This window comes from Homo sapiens, chromosome 5, assembly GCF_000001405.40.
Source record: "Homo sapiens chromosome 5, GRCh38.p14 Primary Assembly".
NCBI lineage: Eukaryota > Metazoa > Chordata > Mammalia > Primates > Hominidae > Homo > Homo sapiens.
The window spans coordinates 162,125,630-162,140,278 of record NC_000005.10 but is presented as its reverse complement, the minus strand read 5'-3'; the positions used below and the strand labels follow the sequence as shown (position 1 = coordinate 162,140,278).

The 14,649-nt window shown below is 36.1% G+C and overlaps 1 protein-coding gene across 15 annotated transcripts in view; it reads right to left on the bottom strand.

Annotated features, from left to right (window-relative positions):
• The window catches only part of GABRG2 (gamma-aminobutyric acid type A receptor subunit gamma2), an 88,075-nt gene that overhangs the window by 15,261 nt on the left and 58,165 nt on the right, over positions 1-14,649 (bottom strand). Inside the window, exon 7 of one of the 15 annotated variants that reach the window (NM_001375344.1) lies at positions 11,018-11,056. The exons of the other annotated variants lie outside the window; for them this stretch is intronic. Coding sequence (NP_001362273.1) covers positions 11,018-11,056 — 39 coding nt within the window. The remainder of the gene's footprint in view (positions 1-11,017; positions 11,057-14,649) is intronic. 15 annotated transcript variants of the gene reach the window in all.

The window sequence follows — 14,649 nt, the reverse complement described above, 5'->3', positions numbered from 1 at the left end:
TGAGGTAGTGATCATGACCTAGCACTGATCAGGGAATTAGGCTTCCAATGGGACATCAGTTTCCTCCCAGAGATCAATAAGTAGCAATTATCTAGCAACTGTGCCTAAAGACTTGAAGATAGAAATTTTTTATCAATGATAATAGATTTTATCTAATTCCCACAGCATATGCTTCTCTGTGTTAATTTATTGAACATAAGCTATTTAAAGCCATAGCATTTCATAAATTAGTTTGGTCCCTGCTTTTGTCCTAATTTAGAATATAACAGGCACAGGCTATGACTGAAGAGTAAAAAGATTTAATTTGAGATGACCTCTATTAACATCCATCTTTTTCTTTCTCATTTCTTTGATCAGAATACTAAAGGCAAATGCATCCTCTCTTATTCCAGATAGGAAAAGCAAAGTAATAAAGGAAGGTTTTTCATTTAAATAATAATATTCAGGGGTACCTTTTCTCCTATTTTCCCAGTCCTTGAGCTTTCTGCACATTTTAAATGTGTTTAAATAAAAAATTACGAATTATCATGTTTTAAATAAAGCTAGACAATTTTAGTAACTTCTTTTTACCTTATCATGTAAGTGAATGAAGATCTGCACTTTGGTATTAATGATCTGGCACTTTTAAAGGTGAACTTTAATTTTGTCCAAAGTTAACAAGATAATTACCTCAATGCAATTATCCACTTCCCTTTAGGTCAGAGTCTAAACTTCCATGGTCCACTTATCTACCAATTTCTATTATAAGGTAATGGCTTCTGAGCATCTCTCATCTTTGCCAGCAAGTCTACAGCTTTTCTACCAGTGGATTATGGATTCAAATTTGAGAACAAGCCATTAAAAGCAAAGCAGCTTCACAGTGACAGCCTGACACCTGTCATATCTCCAAGGCCACGTCGCTTTTTGTATTCCTGAAAACTCTTGGGCTAAAGAGCCTATAAAATCAAATCCCCTTAAAGTGCGGCATCAGTGGATTTCCCAAGCCCAAAAGGTTTAAATGCCAAGCAAGTCAAAGGTGGTTACTTCTGCCACTTCAGATTTATTCCTCCTATTGATTTATCCTAACATATGACATTAAAGTTACAGTATTTTATGTATGAGTTTAATTCCTGCTTTGGTCTTAATTTAGAGTTTATAGATGAAGGCTATGATTGAAGAGCGGAGACATATAATTTGAAACAACATCCATTAATGTTTATCTTTTTTGTGTGTGAGATTCTTATGTCTACTTTTAGGAAAAGACTATCAATGGCAGGTTTTTTTTTTTAAGTTGTAGTGGTAAATAACCATACGATAGTTTTAAAATTTAATATTTAGTGGAGCGTTTAGGTTCTCATTTTCCACATGAAACTATCTCATCTTAAAAACTTGAAGATTCCATGGTAAAGAAGTCTTTCCCTCTATTGAACCCCTGAAATAATAGAAAATAATTTTCAAGTTACCAGTCATGAAAGCCTACTATGTGTAGACACTGGGCTGAATGGTTTGCATATATTATCTGTAAATATCCTAAATGCTTTATCAGGATGGTGAAAAAATGAAGTATCAAATATATCTTCAGTTTGTGCCTCTCTCGTCACTCTTATTCAACTAAAAGATAGTTGAATAAAGTGTATCTTATTCTACTAGGTTAACTTTGAAGGCATAAATAGTGTTGTACTCTTCTTTACATTCCTTTTTCTAGCTCCTTTTTTAAGTCCACAGATATTTTGAATCACTGCTATGCATAGAGCAGTGTATTAGGTAATGCGGAGATTAAGACATAGGGGGCCTCATAACTGATTCTAAATTAAATGTGTTAAAAGGACATAAGATTATTCTTTTTCTACAACCCAGATAGACAGAGAGATGTTCTGGGACAATGCATTCTATCTAGCTTTTGCATCCCTCATTAAACACTTGAATTGGGGACATAATTCCATGAGGCTGATTTTGACCAAAGGCTTGCAGGACAGTTGATTGAGTTTTCATTTGGGAAAATTGTTTTCTGAAATTAGATCTGTACCTCACTCTAATACACAAAATAAATTTAAGATGGAACAAAGATCCAAATTTATGAGTGAATATAAATACTACAGAATGAAAACTATAGAATATCTATATAATCTTAGTGTGGAAAAAGCTTTGTCAAGTATAACATAAAATTTAAAAGGCATAAAGGAAAAAAGTTATGGGGTCGACTGTGTAAAATGTCAGACTTCTGTGTTATCAAGACTGCAGTGAGGGCACGGTGGCTCGCACTTGGAATCCCCTCACTTGGGGAGCACAAGGTACATGGATTGCTTGAGTCCAGGAGTTCAACACCAGCCTGGGCAACGTAGTGAAAATCTATCACTACAAAAAAAAAAAAATACCAAAAATTAGCCAGGCGTGGTGGCATGCACCTGTAGTCCCAGCTACTCCAGGGACTGAGGTGGGAGGATCCCTTGAGCCTGGGACGTGGAGGTTGCAGGTTGCAGTGGGTGGGTGGAGATCTTTCTACTTCACCTCAGACTCCTGCACTCCAGTGTGGGTGACAGAGTGAGACTTTGTTTCAAAAAGAAAAAAAGAAATAAAGAAAGAAAAGAAAAGAAAAAGAAAGAGTGCTCTAACTAGTTTTAAAGGGCAAAACGCCACATTTGAGTGTGGTGAGATATTTCCAAAATAAATAAGAATTCAAAGGCTAATATGACCAGTACATAAAGAATTCCCATTTGTCATTGAGAAAAAAAACCCTAAATTTTTAACTAAGCTAAAAAAAGGAATGAAGAACTTATAAATACAAAATATTTGAAAACTCAACTTCAGAAGGGATCAGTGAAATTCAAAGTCAAATAATAGTATTTCATTTTTAGCCTGTCAGATTGAGGAAAAAATAAATTCCTTGGTAATGTTTGGTCCTGAAAAGATGTGGACAGGGATCAGAGGTACACACTGTTGGTGGGGATACACAATGATGTGAACTTTTAGGAAGATAATCTGAAAGTATATAAAAAACATATTTTATTTTAAAATTTCTTGGATAAACACTACAGAAACAAAAAGTTTTCAAATATTTCCATGCAATTGGCACCAAAATTTTCCCACGGTTTTTTATGTGCCTAGAAGTCTAGGTAGAATACTCAGTCTTTCGGCAGAATCCCAATCCCTGAGCTTAAGGGATCCAGAACATTTTTGTGGATAAAAGATTTCCAAATTAATCAGTTGCAAACTTCTATAAAGGCTACTCTCAAGCAGTTTCTGCATTCATCACCTGCCCACCATTCTCGGGGTTGTTTATTCTCTCATTAACTCTTCTGGAGTACATTCAATATCTCCTGCCAACCAGGTCCTGTGAGGTCAAGAGAGGGAAAAAATATATAGCTAAGCTCTAGCTTTTGCCATCAAGGAGTTGTCAGGCCAAGAAAGTCACTGCTGCATAATGGCACAAGAGTTCTCATATAACAGACACATGCTAATTTATCTTACACACCACAATTAAACTTTCTGACAGGCACATTTTTGAAAATTCTGAGTAAAGAAACCTATGTTCACTAAACTTAAATAGGTCCACGCTCCTCTTCGGAGAAAGCCCAGGCTTCTAAACCTGGCATCAAGGCTATGGGTAATCTAAATTTAACCTAGGTCTTTCTCTCTTATTATTCTATTTGTGTCCTCTGAGCCCTAGACAAGTAAATTAAATGTTTTTATTTCTTGCCTCTATGATTTTTCCATCTTTATTCTTCCTGCCATCATCTCTCCCCTAGATTGCTGAATAATCTCTTTACCCCTTTTCTTCATTCCAACTTTCTGACCACCTATGCCACCACCACCACCACCACCACCCCACACACATATATTCCACAATGCGACTACACCTGTCCTATCTAAAATGGTAGCCATATTAAACATACTTTAAAAAATTAAATTTACTTTCTTAGTTACACAAACCACATTTCAAGTGCGCGAGAGCTACATGTAGCTAGTGACTAGTGTATTGGACGGTACAGATTGTAGAGCAGTTCCTTCATCATGGAACATTCAATTGGACAGTGCTAAACCAAGCTTTTCTTTCTAGAGTACATATTTGTTCAGGTCATTCCCCTTGAGCACCTCAGTATGAAATTCGCACTGCTTAACGTGTGATTCTGGCCCAGTTTGCTTGATCCATCCTGAACCATCCCAGCTTTATAATCTCCCCACTTTTAGCTCAGCCATATGATTTATTTTCTGCTTTTCCAAGGGGAAAATTCTCATTATTTTGACCTTGTTTGCAATATGTTGCTCTCAACTTCTGAAATGTTCTCTACCCTCTGATCATGCCTATACATATAAATACCTCCAGACTCTTCAATAATTGCCCATTGATATCAGGTCACACTAAAATTCTTTAACTTGTTCTCTAGGGCTTCATATGTTGTTTTGTTTTGTTTTGTTTTTCCCTCACTATATTCCCGGACTCATATTAAATAGTGATTCTTCACTGATTGGGGTTCTTGTAGTTCTTTACATGCCTTCCTCACCCTGCTTCCTCTTCCCACAGGGTTCTTTCACCTGCTGCCTCCTCTGGCCTCAACTCTAATATCCCATCTTTCTTTACTCACTTAACTCCATTTATTTTTCAAACGTCAATTAATGTATCTCATCATGAAAGAAGCTCTTATTACATCAAATGTCCTCAGTAAGACATCATAGTAAGAGCTCAGTAAGATCACAATAAAAATATATGATGGTGAATACTGGATTATACTCTAGATTATAATTATTTTATGAGTTCCATAAGGGATGTAGCTCTAGCTATTTTGCTCACTATTTTATTCTGAGCATCTAGCACAGTGCCTGGGACATAGAGGGAATTCCACAATTATTTGTTACATAAATAAATGCTTTAGCTCTGTATGACATGAAGAAAATTCTAGATGAGCTATACACCAAAAGTCTTTAAGACCAAAGTGGAGATCAACATTGGCTTTTAAGATATTAAACTTTTACATTACAAATTACTGCTTCTGGAAAAATTTTTGCTGAACTTAGTGTCAATGGATATAAGGTCACAGTGAGCTGTTAGCAATCCTAAATGCTTGCCAAGAAAAAAAAAAGAGAGAAGGGAAATCAGCTTTATCAGAGTGGCTGCATTATGTTTAGTAAAGTATTATTTGGTGATTTGAGATTCTCAGCCAGATCCAATTAGTGAAAGAAGAGAACAAATGGGTTTGGCTGCTAAAACACAAGCACCACAGTGTGCCAAGTCTACTAGGTGTGTTTTTGTTTAAAAACTTTGCCGTTCTGATTTCATCTATTAAGTTCGTGAAGAACAAAATAGCAATTGAGGGAAATATAATTTTAAAAAGTGCATTCACATAATTTTTCTGGTTTAAATTTATCCTTTAAAGACTCCATCTGAATATCCACCGAGGGCAGGAGTGGAGAACTATACTGAAGAATGGGAACTGGTTTGAATCATTTTCCCTAGAAGGAGAGCAGTAATGTGTTCCCTGCAGGCTGCTGAGGAGGGATGGTCTTCGTCTCTTAGCTGAGATGGCTTTATTTTGGCCAGTGGTATTTCTCTAGAAAAAGTGGCAAGTAGTGAGCTGTCAGCAGCCAACCCCTAAGCATCTGAGAGATGGGTGTGTGAGTTCAAGAAAGGTGATAGGGTGGCAGGGGCATCAACAGTGTCCACTGCAAGGGCAAATATCAGATTAACTGGGTTCAAAATTCGAATCCTGTCACTAACTGATTGTGTGATTTCAGGCAACTTTTCTATGTCTCTGAGTCTCAACTTCTTTATCTGTAAAGTAAGAATAATAATAGAATCCACTTCACAGTGATATTGTGAACATAAAAAGAGTTAATATACATACCATTCTTGGTACAATTCCTGGCACATAGGATGGTACGTTAATGTCAGTTATGTCAAAGCAGAGTAATCTATGAAATATGATTAAACACTGTTCTGACCCATAATAAACATAGGAGAAACTTACTAAGTATTCAAAAAAGAGAGTTAGAAAGTGTCTTAGAATAAATCTATACCAACCAATTCTATCCTCTTAAAGATTAAGCAGTTGACGTTCATCAAAGAAGGATGCTTTATCCAAAGAGACAGAGCTACCTACTGGCAGGCCTAAGAATCCTGCCTTATAAACCCATACTCCTTCTGTAGAAAATAGCCTCTGTGTTCTAAATCAGTGGTTAGGACTATGATGATAAATCCAAAGAAAACAAACAAAAACAATGTGGAAAGCTGACTAATTGTTGAATGTCAAGAATGTGGTTAATATAGAAAGCTGGTTTGGATAACTGGGGCCCTCAATGACAAACAGAGCCTTCATTTACTCTTGAACATTATATAATGCACGTATTAGCTTTAGGAAGCTGAAAACTCATTTGTCTGGAATACCAGCCTGCCTCTGCCTCAACAAAAGCAGACATTTTCTCTTGGCGGATAGCTTTAGATGAAAGAAAGCTCAGTATTTGCAAAGCCTCCAAATGTAGTGGTTTTCTCTAGGTTCATGGAGCTAGGTCTTTGCTGATATCCCAGTTTTCTGCCTTCCTTTACTAGAAAATTCTCTTTATGCAAGAGGTTCCCTTTCTCACCCTCCAAAAAAGCTACCACAGATGCCTAGCCCAATGTGGAATTTTGTAATGCTATTCATTTGTCTGAGTCCATAGTCAAGTTCAAAAAAATGCAGCAAATATGTTCACCTTGGGATATACATAAATAAAACAACTCCAGCTCAGAAATCTAAAACTACAGCTACAAATGAATACATTTGCTACTTTGATCCATCGAAAGAGACAGCAATTTCCTGGTATAATTAACTGTAACTCCTGCAAACATCTAACTAGATATTAAAACATGTTTTACATAAACGCAGGGCAATTCACAGTAGCAGATCTAGTCCCAGGATTAAAGCACATGCAATCATGATAATAAGGTACAGAAATGCGAGTAAGTTGTTTAAATTCTCCCACTAAAGTAGGAATAAACAAACTTATTGCTAAGGCTATTGTGAGAAACACATTTGCTAATAGTAGGCAAAGTGTTTTGTCATCTTTCGAACACAGAGTATAGAAAAAGTGGTACATAGAGCTTTTTGAGGACAGTCGATTTGAAGAATAACTTCTGTGACATTGGTAGGTGATATTCCTGTTGAGTGATTTTTTTTTCCTTTGTTAAAAGGCTACCTTCAGGCTTCAGGAGTAATAGTAAAGTAGCCAATCTTATGCTTGTTTCTACTAATATTAATGCATCCATGAAAGCCAGTAATACACTATTACAGTCACCCACTGTTAGAGCCAGTAATACATTATTAGAGCTCACATATTTGCATTAGTAAAATTATGCTGTTTTGTTCAACTCAATTTCTGAGGAACAGACTAATTACATACCAACAGGTTTTGTCAGAAGGTAACAAAATATTCTTTTATATGTACTTAATGTTTGTATAGAGTATGGTTGTGACACTAACAGATCTAATTTACCTTTTGCAGAAGTCCCATTTCAGGAGAAATTTTAAAATGTGAATTCATATTCCATTCTTAGCTCTCATGGTTCAATGGAAATAGTTTCAGCACTTCAGAAGAGAGGTGCCAATAAGAAGCAGATATAATAGTCTAGTTGCATCTATTAACTTTGATGAGAAAATTAGCTTTAATAGAGAAAATGGGATCTACAGAGGTGTCAGTGAAGACCTGATAAATTCTGAGAAATGTTGCAGTCATTTACTTCTACTCAACCATATATAGTTAGGTAAGTGCTAGATATGCTCCTTTGAGTAAGAGATTATAATTGATTTGTCAGAGTTGTAATCCCAGAGCCACAGAGTTGGGGTTGATATGTTACATTTTGCCCTTCTGACATAGAAATGATGAGACTGCATTTCACAGAGAAAATGAGTAGAAATTCTATTTGTGATGTGTTGAAAGAACAAAGAATTCTCAACAGAAAAATGCCTGGTCCACAGGTCTGTCCTGAAAAACAGATGCCTTATCCACGGGGAACAACTTTTTCCATCTACTCTGGAGATAGAATCTTGTTCTCCTTAAAAATTGCTTGGTATCCATCAATTTATAAAAACAGGACAGTATATTTAGTAAGAACCAAGTTCGTGTCCCAAATTGGTCAAAAACTAATTTGTGATATTAGGAGGTTATTTTAAGTAACCAATCTGAGACTCAGTTTCCTATTTTGTAAAATAGAGATGACAAAATTCTCCATAGCAACCTGACAGAGTTCTTGCAATACCTGTTGCAATAACTGGTTGTAATTAATCAATATTTGTTGTAATTACCACCATTTTTTATTTTCTCCTAGGTGCCGAAGGCTCTACTAGGAACTCTGAATGCCACCCAAAACCTAAGTTTTACTATTAGAATATTTCACTGACTAGTATACACATATTCAAATTTGTGGTAACTTCCTTATAGCTACTAATATTGGAGTAGGTGTCTCACCACATTTTGACCCTAAATCCAAGGCTTACCAATTATTTTTCAATAATTCTAACAAGTTAACAGCTGCAAAGTTTGGAAGGGCAGTACGAACACTGGGGGACATTTGAATCATGGCACGTGGATTCAGATTATATTCAGATGGATGCTATCTTGTGGATTGATAGTATGCATGTTAAAAGTCTTTATAAATATTTATTCTATATAAGTTTAGTCTTTATAAATAATTTGTAATCCTTAATAATTATAAATCTTGCAAATTTTTGTTCTTTCAGCTCATAGCTTATTTCATTCCTTGTTTAATATTCCTACCAAAGTTTGAGAACCACCAGAATTTAAAATATTACAAAAAAGAAAGAAGAGAATACAGTGGAGGAGAAAGAAGAAGAGTATAGTTGGGAATACTCTTAAAGTGATGTTTCTAAGTAATATTTTTCATTGAACATTGGTTTCATAATATGCTAAAAATAATGACTTCTTCAATCAGGAACATTTGATTTTTGTGAAACAGCGTGCGATACCACTGGAGGTTCACCACGCACATTAGCACATATGTGCTTCTGCACTAGAAGATGTTTGCCTTTAACTTAGCATTTTCCAAAGATATATTATCACGAAACTAGGCTTTTAGGAAACATTTACTATAGTCTATAGTACACATATTCAGCTGGACTTGCTGTGGGGGACACTCCTCTTTAGGAGTCATAATGTCCTTTGTCTTCCCTCATTTTTTCCTGACCTGTGAACAGAAATATACACCCTTTTAGAAGTATTGGAAAGAAAAGATTCCACTGCTTCTCCTCTCACTTTACTCATTTTGGTTATCTATTTGGTGAAATTAAGACACTTCATCACTTAGGTGTTTTCTTATTGAATGGATCTCATAATTCCTTGCTCTTGTCCTTCATTTGATAAGCTCTCTTGAATCAAGGCATGGATTACTGTTTAGATGATGACCTCATGGTCTCTCTCCATGCCTTCTATGGGGACTCAGTGGGTGTCAGCCAGCTATTCCAAGCAAGTGTATGCTCTACCACATCCACATCTCTCTTGAGCTGGTAAATACCAAATATTAGCCTTGGAGGAGAAAAAGTAAGAATCCCAGCTGTAAATAAAAACGAATCCTACAAACCAAGGTTACCTGCAATCAAGATGATATTTGAATACTATCTCTTCAATTTACAATTCTATCTCACAAATGGGTCAAAATCAAGAGATAAAGAGAGAAATGTCATTAATAAATATAACGCCAAACCCAGAAACCTATTTTGGAGAAATAAGCGTATTAGTAGAAGCGCTTTATTTTTCTTGTCATTTTCACCCTTTTGATGAGCCTGGGTAACTTTGCATTTGAAGCCGGACCTGATTAATCTAACCCAGGCACTGACATTTTCTTAAAGAAAAGGCTCCACAGAGGTAGAGAAACCTAATGTTATCAGAATACCAAGCCTTCTAAAATGGCTTTGAAAGCAGCTAGAAAAAAAATAATTGTTCAAATTCAGGCAACTGCAGGCAGTGGTTGCAAAAGGTCAAATCACAAAATGTTCCCCAAGATGTCAAATCACTCCTGGGAATATTCTGCAAAATTATAGGTTTAAAAACTTGACCTTACTTGCTCTTTATTCTCAAGCACTCGATTTTCAACTATCACACCCCTGCCCCCATGGAATTCTTTCACCCAGGAAGTTTTTCATTTTGTGAAATTCAAGGATATTTTTAAGATATCTGTTAAAAATCATTGCCAATATATATTTTAAAACCTCTGTACACTTTACCATACTATATAGAGTTGGTTCGAAAAAGCTCAACTTCTCTGAAAAAGGAAACTTTCTGTGTTGGTGGGCAAAGTACTAGATTCAAAGTCAGCAGACCTAGCTTCCAATTCCTGCCTATATGTGACTTTGTGTGATCTTGGGTGAATCCGATCTCTTCTCTAATTCTCTTTCTCTTCCCTATAAATTATAACAAATTCAATTAAATAATAGATCTCTGAAAACCCTATGTAAACATTAAATATAATTTTAATATTTAAAAATTCATAGTGTTGTTATTTAAATTGACATATGTAATATATGTATCAAATTTTAACAGTGGAAGCTCTAAAATTTATTTTTGAAATTTAAGGAATACAACATTTGATGAAAAATTTAGAAAAAACCTGTTATTTCTTAGTTTGACCTTTATTTGCTTTATAATGTTGAGCAAGAAATGTTACTTTACTTGTCCGGTCTGTTTTTTTCGCAGATGAAAATGGAAAAAATTATCATCTGTATCTCATAGATTTGTTGAATGGATTAAATAAATGATTCCTATGGTGTTTTAGCACAAGGACTCAGACCGGGTGCTTAACAAATGTTATTGAATGTTACTATCATTTTTTTTTTCACTTTTTAAATGTTTTCACGTAACTCATAGGGTCTTATAATCTTGAGAATCTAGTTGTGTATTACAGTTCTTTGTTTGGGTTTGCATTTTAATCTTTTTCACGTTAAGAAAGATACCCTTAGTGATGTTTTAAGACTTGTGTTCTGAACAAGGAGAAAAACAAACTCTCCCTTTTCTTGTTTGCCATGTATCAACTTTTGTGGAAAATCTGTAACCTTACCCAATGTCAAATTCACCAAGATTTCATGTAGCTTATCTTCTGTAGAAAGGCAAAGAAAATTCTGGTGACATAAACATTGATCACAAACTTTCTTGCTTTCCTATGCCAGTTTGGCTATTGTTCTTATTAAGAAAATACACCAATCAACAACTAATAAAATTCGAAAAGGCTTCCTGTGTTTTCAGTTCTAAAATTATTTCTCTAAAATACTATCACTTTAAAGTAAATAAAAGATATGCCAACTGGAAAAAAGAAAGTATATAATAGACTATTTGCAGTTAGAAAGAATATCAAGGATCACCTAATCCAGCTGTAACTGCGACTCAGAGAGTTGAAATTATATACCCAGGGTCACATAATTAGTACCAGATCTAGATGTAGAATTTTAGTTGCTTGATTCTTAATTTAAAAATTTCTCACAATGGCATTCCATTAAAAGACATGCACAGAGATTTTGGTCCATGATACTGAAATAATAACAGGATAACCATGACCACAGAATTATGCACATTTAGATACCAACTTCTTCAATTCTTCCATCCTAGAAATGATGAAACTGAAGCCCCTTGCTTTTCATCCTGCCTCCTCAAAAAGTCGAAGTACAGTATCAGAGCTTCACTGTCATAGATAACCATATGATAGAAGAGGGAGAGGAGAGGAGAGGAAGGAGCTCAGCATGGAGGAATATTTATTATCTGCCTGCTGAAAGCTGAGTTTGGAGCAACAGCATTTTGCAAATGCTCATGTTTCCCTCCTACATGTCAGGAGAAGGGAAGCCAGGGGCATTTCCAGCATTGTTCCTTGAAGAGCTGTGGCATGCTGTTATGTAAAACAAACCCAGACAAGGGAAGGGATGCCAGCAAACAGTCTTACCACACTTAGTCAACTGTCCTCCAGGGAGAGACTGACAGTGTCTCTCTGCCTCCAGCAGTGAAAGAATGCCACTTGCTGAATGCGGGTTGAATGACCCAGATGAGAATCTGAGCTGAAATCAATACACCTCCTCACTGTATCTCAGCCAGAAAAGAGGACTGGGGAAAACTTAAGCAGAAGAGATGTTTGGCTTGGCGTGCAGCCACCTTCTGTGATCTCCAGGAAAGGGAGGGTATTCAGAAAATTGGGCCAGCAGGTAAAAGAAAAGAGGAGTTTCCCTTCTTCTGAATAATTTGAAATAAAAGCATGATAAATACTGAATTTATATATCACATGCTTTCCATTTCTCTGGGAAATGGTCTCTTGATACTCTCTGTCCCATGTGACCAAAGCCTTGCTTTCCACCTCCTGCATAACTTCACACAGGGCACCTGACAGACCATTTACCCTGAGCAGCACTCTGTGCTCTCACTACGTCCATGTGGTTTTCAGAACAAATCTGGATTCACACCCTGACTCTGGTTCTTACTAAGTGTATGACTTTAAGTTACTGAAATCCTTCGATCGTCAGTTTCCTCACGTCTATGCTCAAATCTTTTTGTGTTGCATTCCCTTCCTTTGATTGATCTGATAGAAAGCATAATATACTAGTTGTCTAATGATTACCTTTCTTGGGCATTTGCATTGTGGAGGGGATTCCTGAAGACAAAATACGGTGAATTCAGGAGACAACATATTTAATAATGGGGTTTTGGTATCATGGTGCATAGGAGGATAGGATCATATCCAGAGCCCTCAAATTCATTGTCATTCATTCATTCATTGACAAAACAGAATCTCTAATCTGCCCTAAATACCCTATCTCAGTGTTGCTCACATATGGAGATATGAGCTTCCAGTGATGGTTGAACTATGATACAAATATAGATACCCCAAATTTTATAATCTTACATAAATCTTAGATTTAGTCATATACTAGAGCATACCATATAGGTGATTAGATGAAGAAAACAAACTAGAACAACCCAATATAAACCTAGAATGATCTTAGTTTTTTTCTAGCATACTTTTAATTTTGGGGAAATGCCATTAGCCACAAATATCTAAAGTACAGGCACTAGTGAAAAGATGATTTTCATGAAAAAAACTACATTTATATTCAAAACACATAGGTTTTCCACTGTGCAGAGATTTGATAACTTTGCTTTAAAAATTCTTAACAAGAGTTATGAGCTTCCGGCAATCCTGCTATCTTAATCTCCATTACTTACGTGTCTGTACTTAAGACTTTTATTATCTTTCTTTTCATCCTTAAGAGTGCCACGGTTGAATTCTAATGATGGTAGGTTTGCAGAGGTAATGGTGCCTGGAAATTACCTCTGGAATTTTCTAATTGTAAATTTAAAAATGTTCAGGATGATTAATTACTATGGGAAATTAAATGAACTTATAACAACCAGAGTTTGTTGATCATCTGCTATAAGCCACTCCCAGTGGTAGGAAATGTAGATACAGGATAAATAAGAGAGTTCCAGATTGCAAAGTGCCTTGCATGTACAATGAGAGACTTCAAGGACATACAGGAGTTTTCAAGTGAAGAACGTTTCAGGGAGAGGAAACAAGTGAAAAGTCCCTCGGGCATGTGGCAGCCTGAGTTATTTGAAAAACTACAAACAGTTCATGTGGCTATAATGTTGACTGCCAGAATTAGGTGAAGGGGAAGGTGGAGAAAGATGGGCTCGGAGAATTGAGTGTGAAGTGTCATGTATGTCATGCTAAGGTATTTGGAATTACTCCTGGGGACGATGTGAAGCATTTCCTAGGCCATCTACCACCTTTGGTGTGCAGAGGGAAACCTCATGCTGGGATAACATCTGCCTTTCCCAAAGTTTTAACTCTATCTAAAGATGTCAAGTGGAGTCTCACACTTAATATAATTCCATCCCCCCACAATAGAGGTCAAAAGTGAGTTCACACACTACTCTAGGACAATGATTTCCATAGGCTTTTCCATTTATCAGGGACCCACTGGTGGGTGGAACACTGGATTGCACACTGTGATAAACATCCAATCCTCTAGAATGCCTTTCCTCATCTGTAGGGGTGAAGATGAAATCACAAGTACGACTTCTTCAGTCATACTCTCAATAGCTGCACCAACACTAGCTGACTTGAATCTACCATGTCTAATCTTAATATGAAATGTCATTACCCCCTCATTTCTTGAAGATTTTAACTACTGGCTCACTATCACATACTCCACATCTTTCGTATTAATTCTTGAGGTTTCAAAAATATGACCCACAAATCTCTGTCTTCTAAGTTTCTTAAATTTCTCTAGATGGATGGTGTATGAGGTTGACCTCCATACTATTTCATTCACCCTCTTCAATGGCATACTCAAGACATTACTATTTTTAAATTAATAACTGTAACCTTTCCATAATATCTATTTCATGAATCTTACTATGGAACAACATCTCTTATTTGTTTCCAGTTAAGCCCCTCTTATACTCTTATACTCTAGCATTCCAAATCTTTTTACTTTATGGAGACCTTTGTCTATTGATTCTATGACCTTATAACCTTCCCTCATCCCCTCAGTGGTCTCTCCTTCCTTACTCTGTGTAAGTTTTTTGGTTGGTCATTACAACCACTCCCTCAATTCTCCTGTCTTTTATTACGTTCATCTGACAAACCACCACTTTGATTAAACCAAAATTTTCTTCTGCTTGATGCCTACTCTCAACCAACCTGAA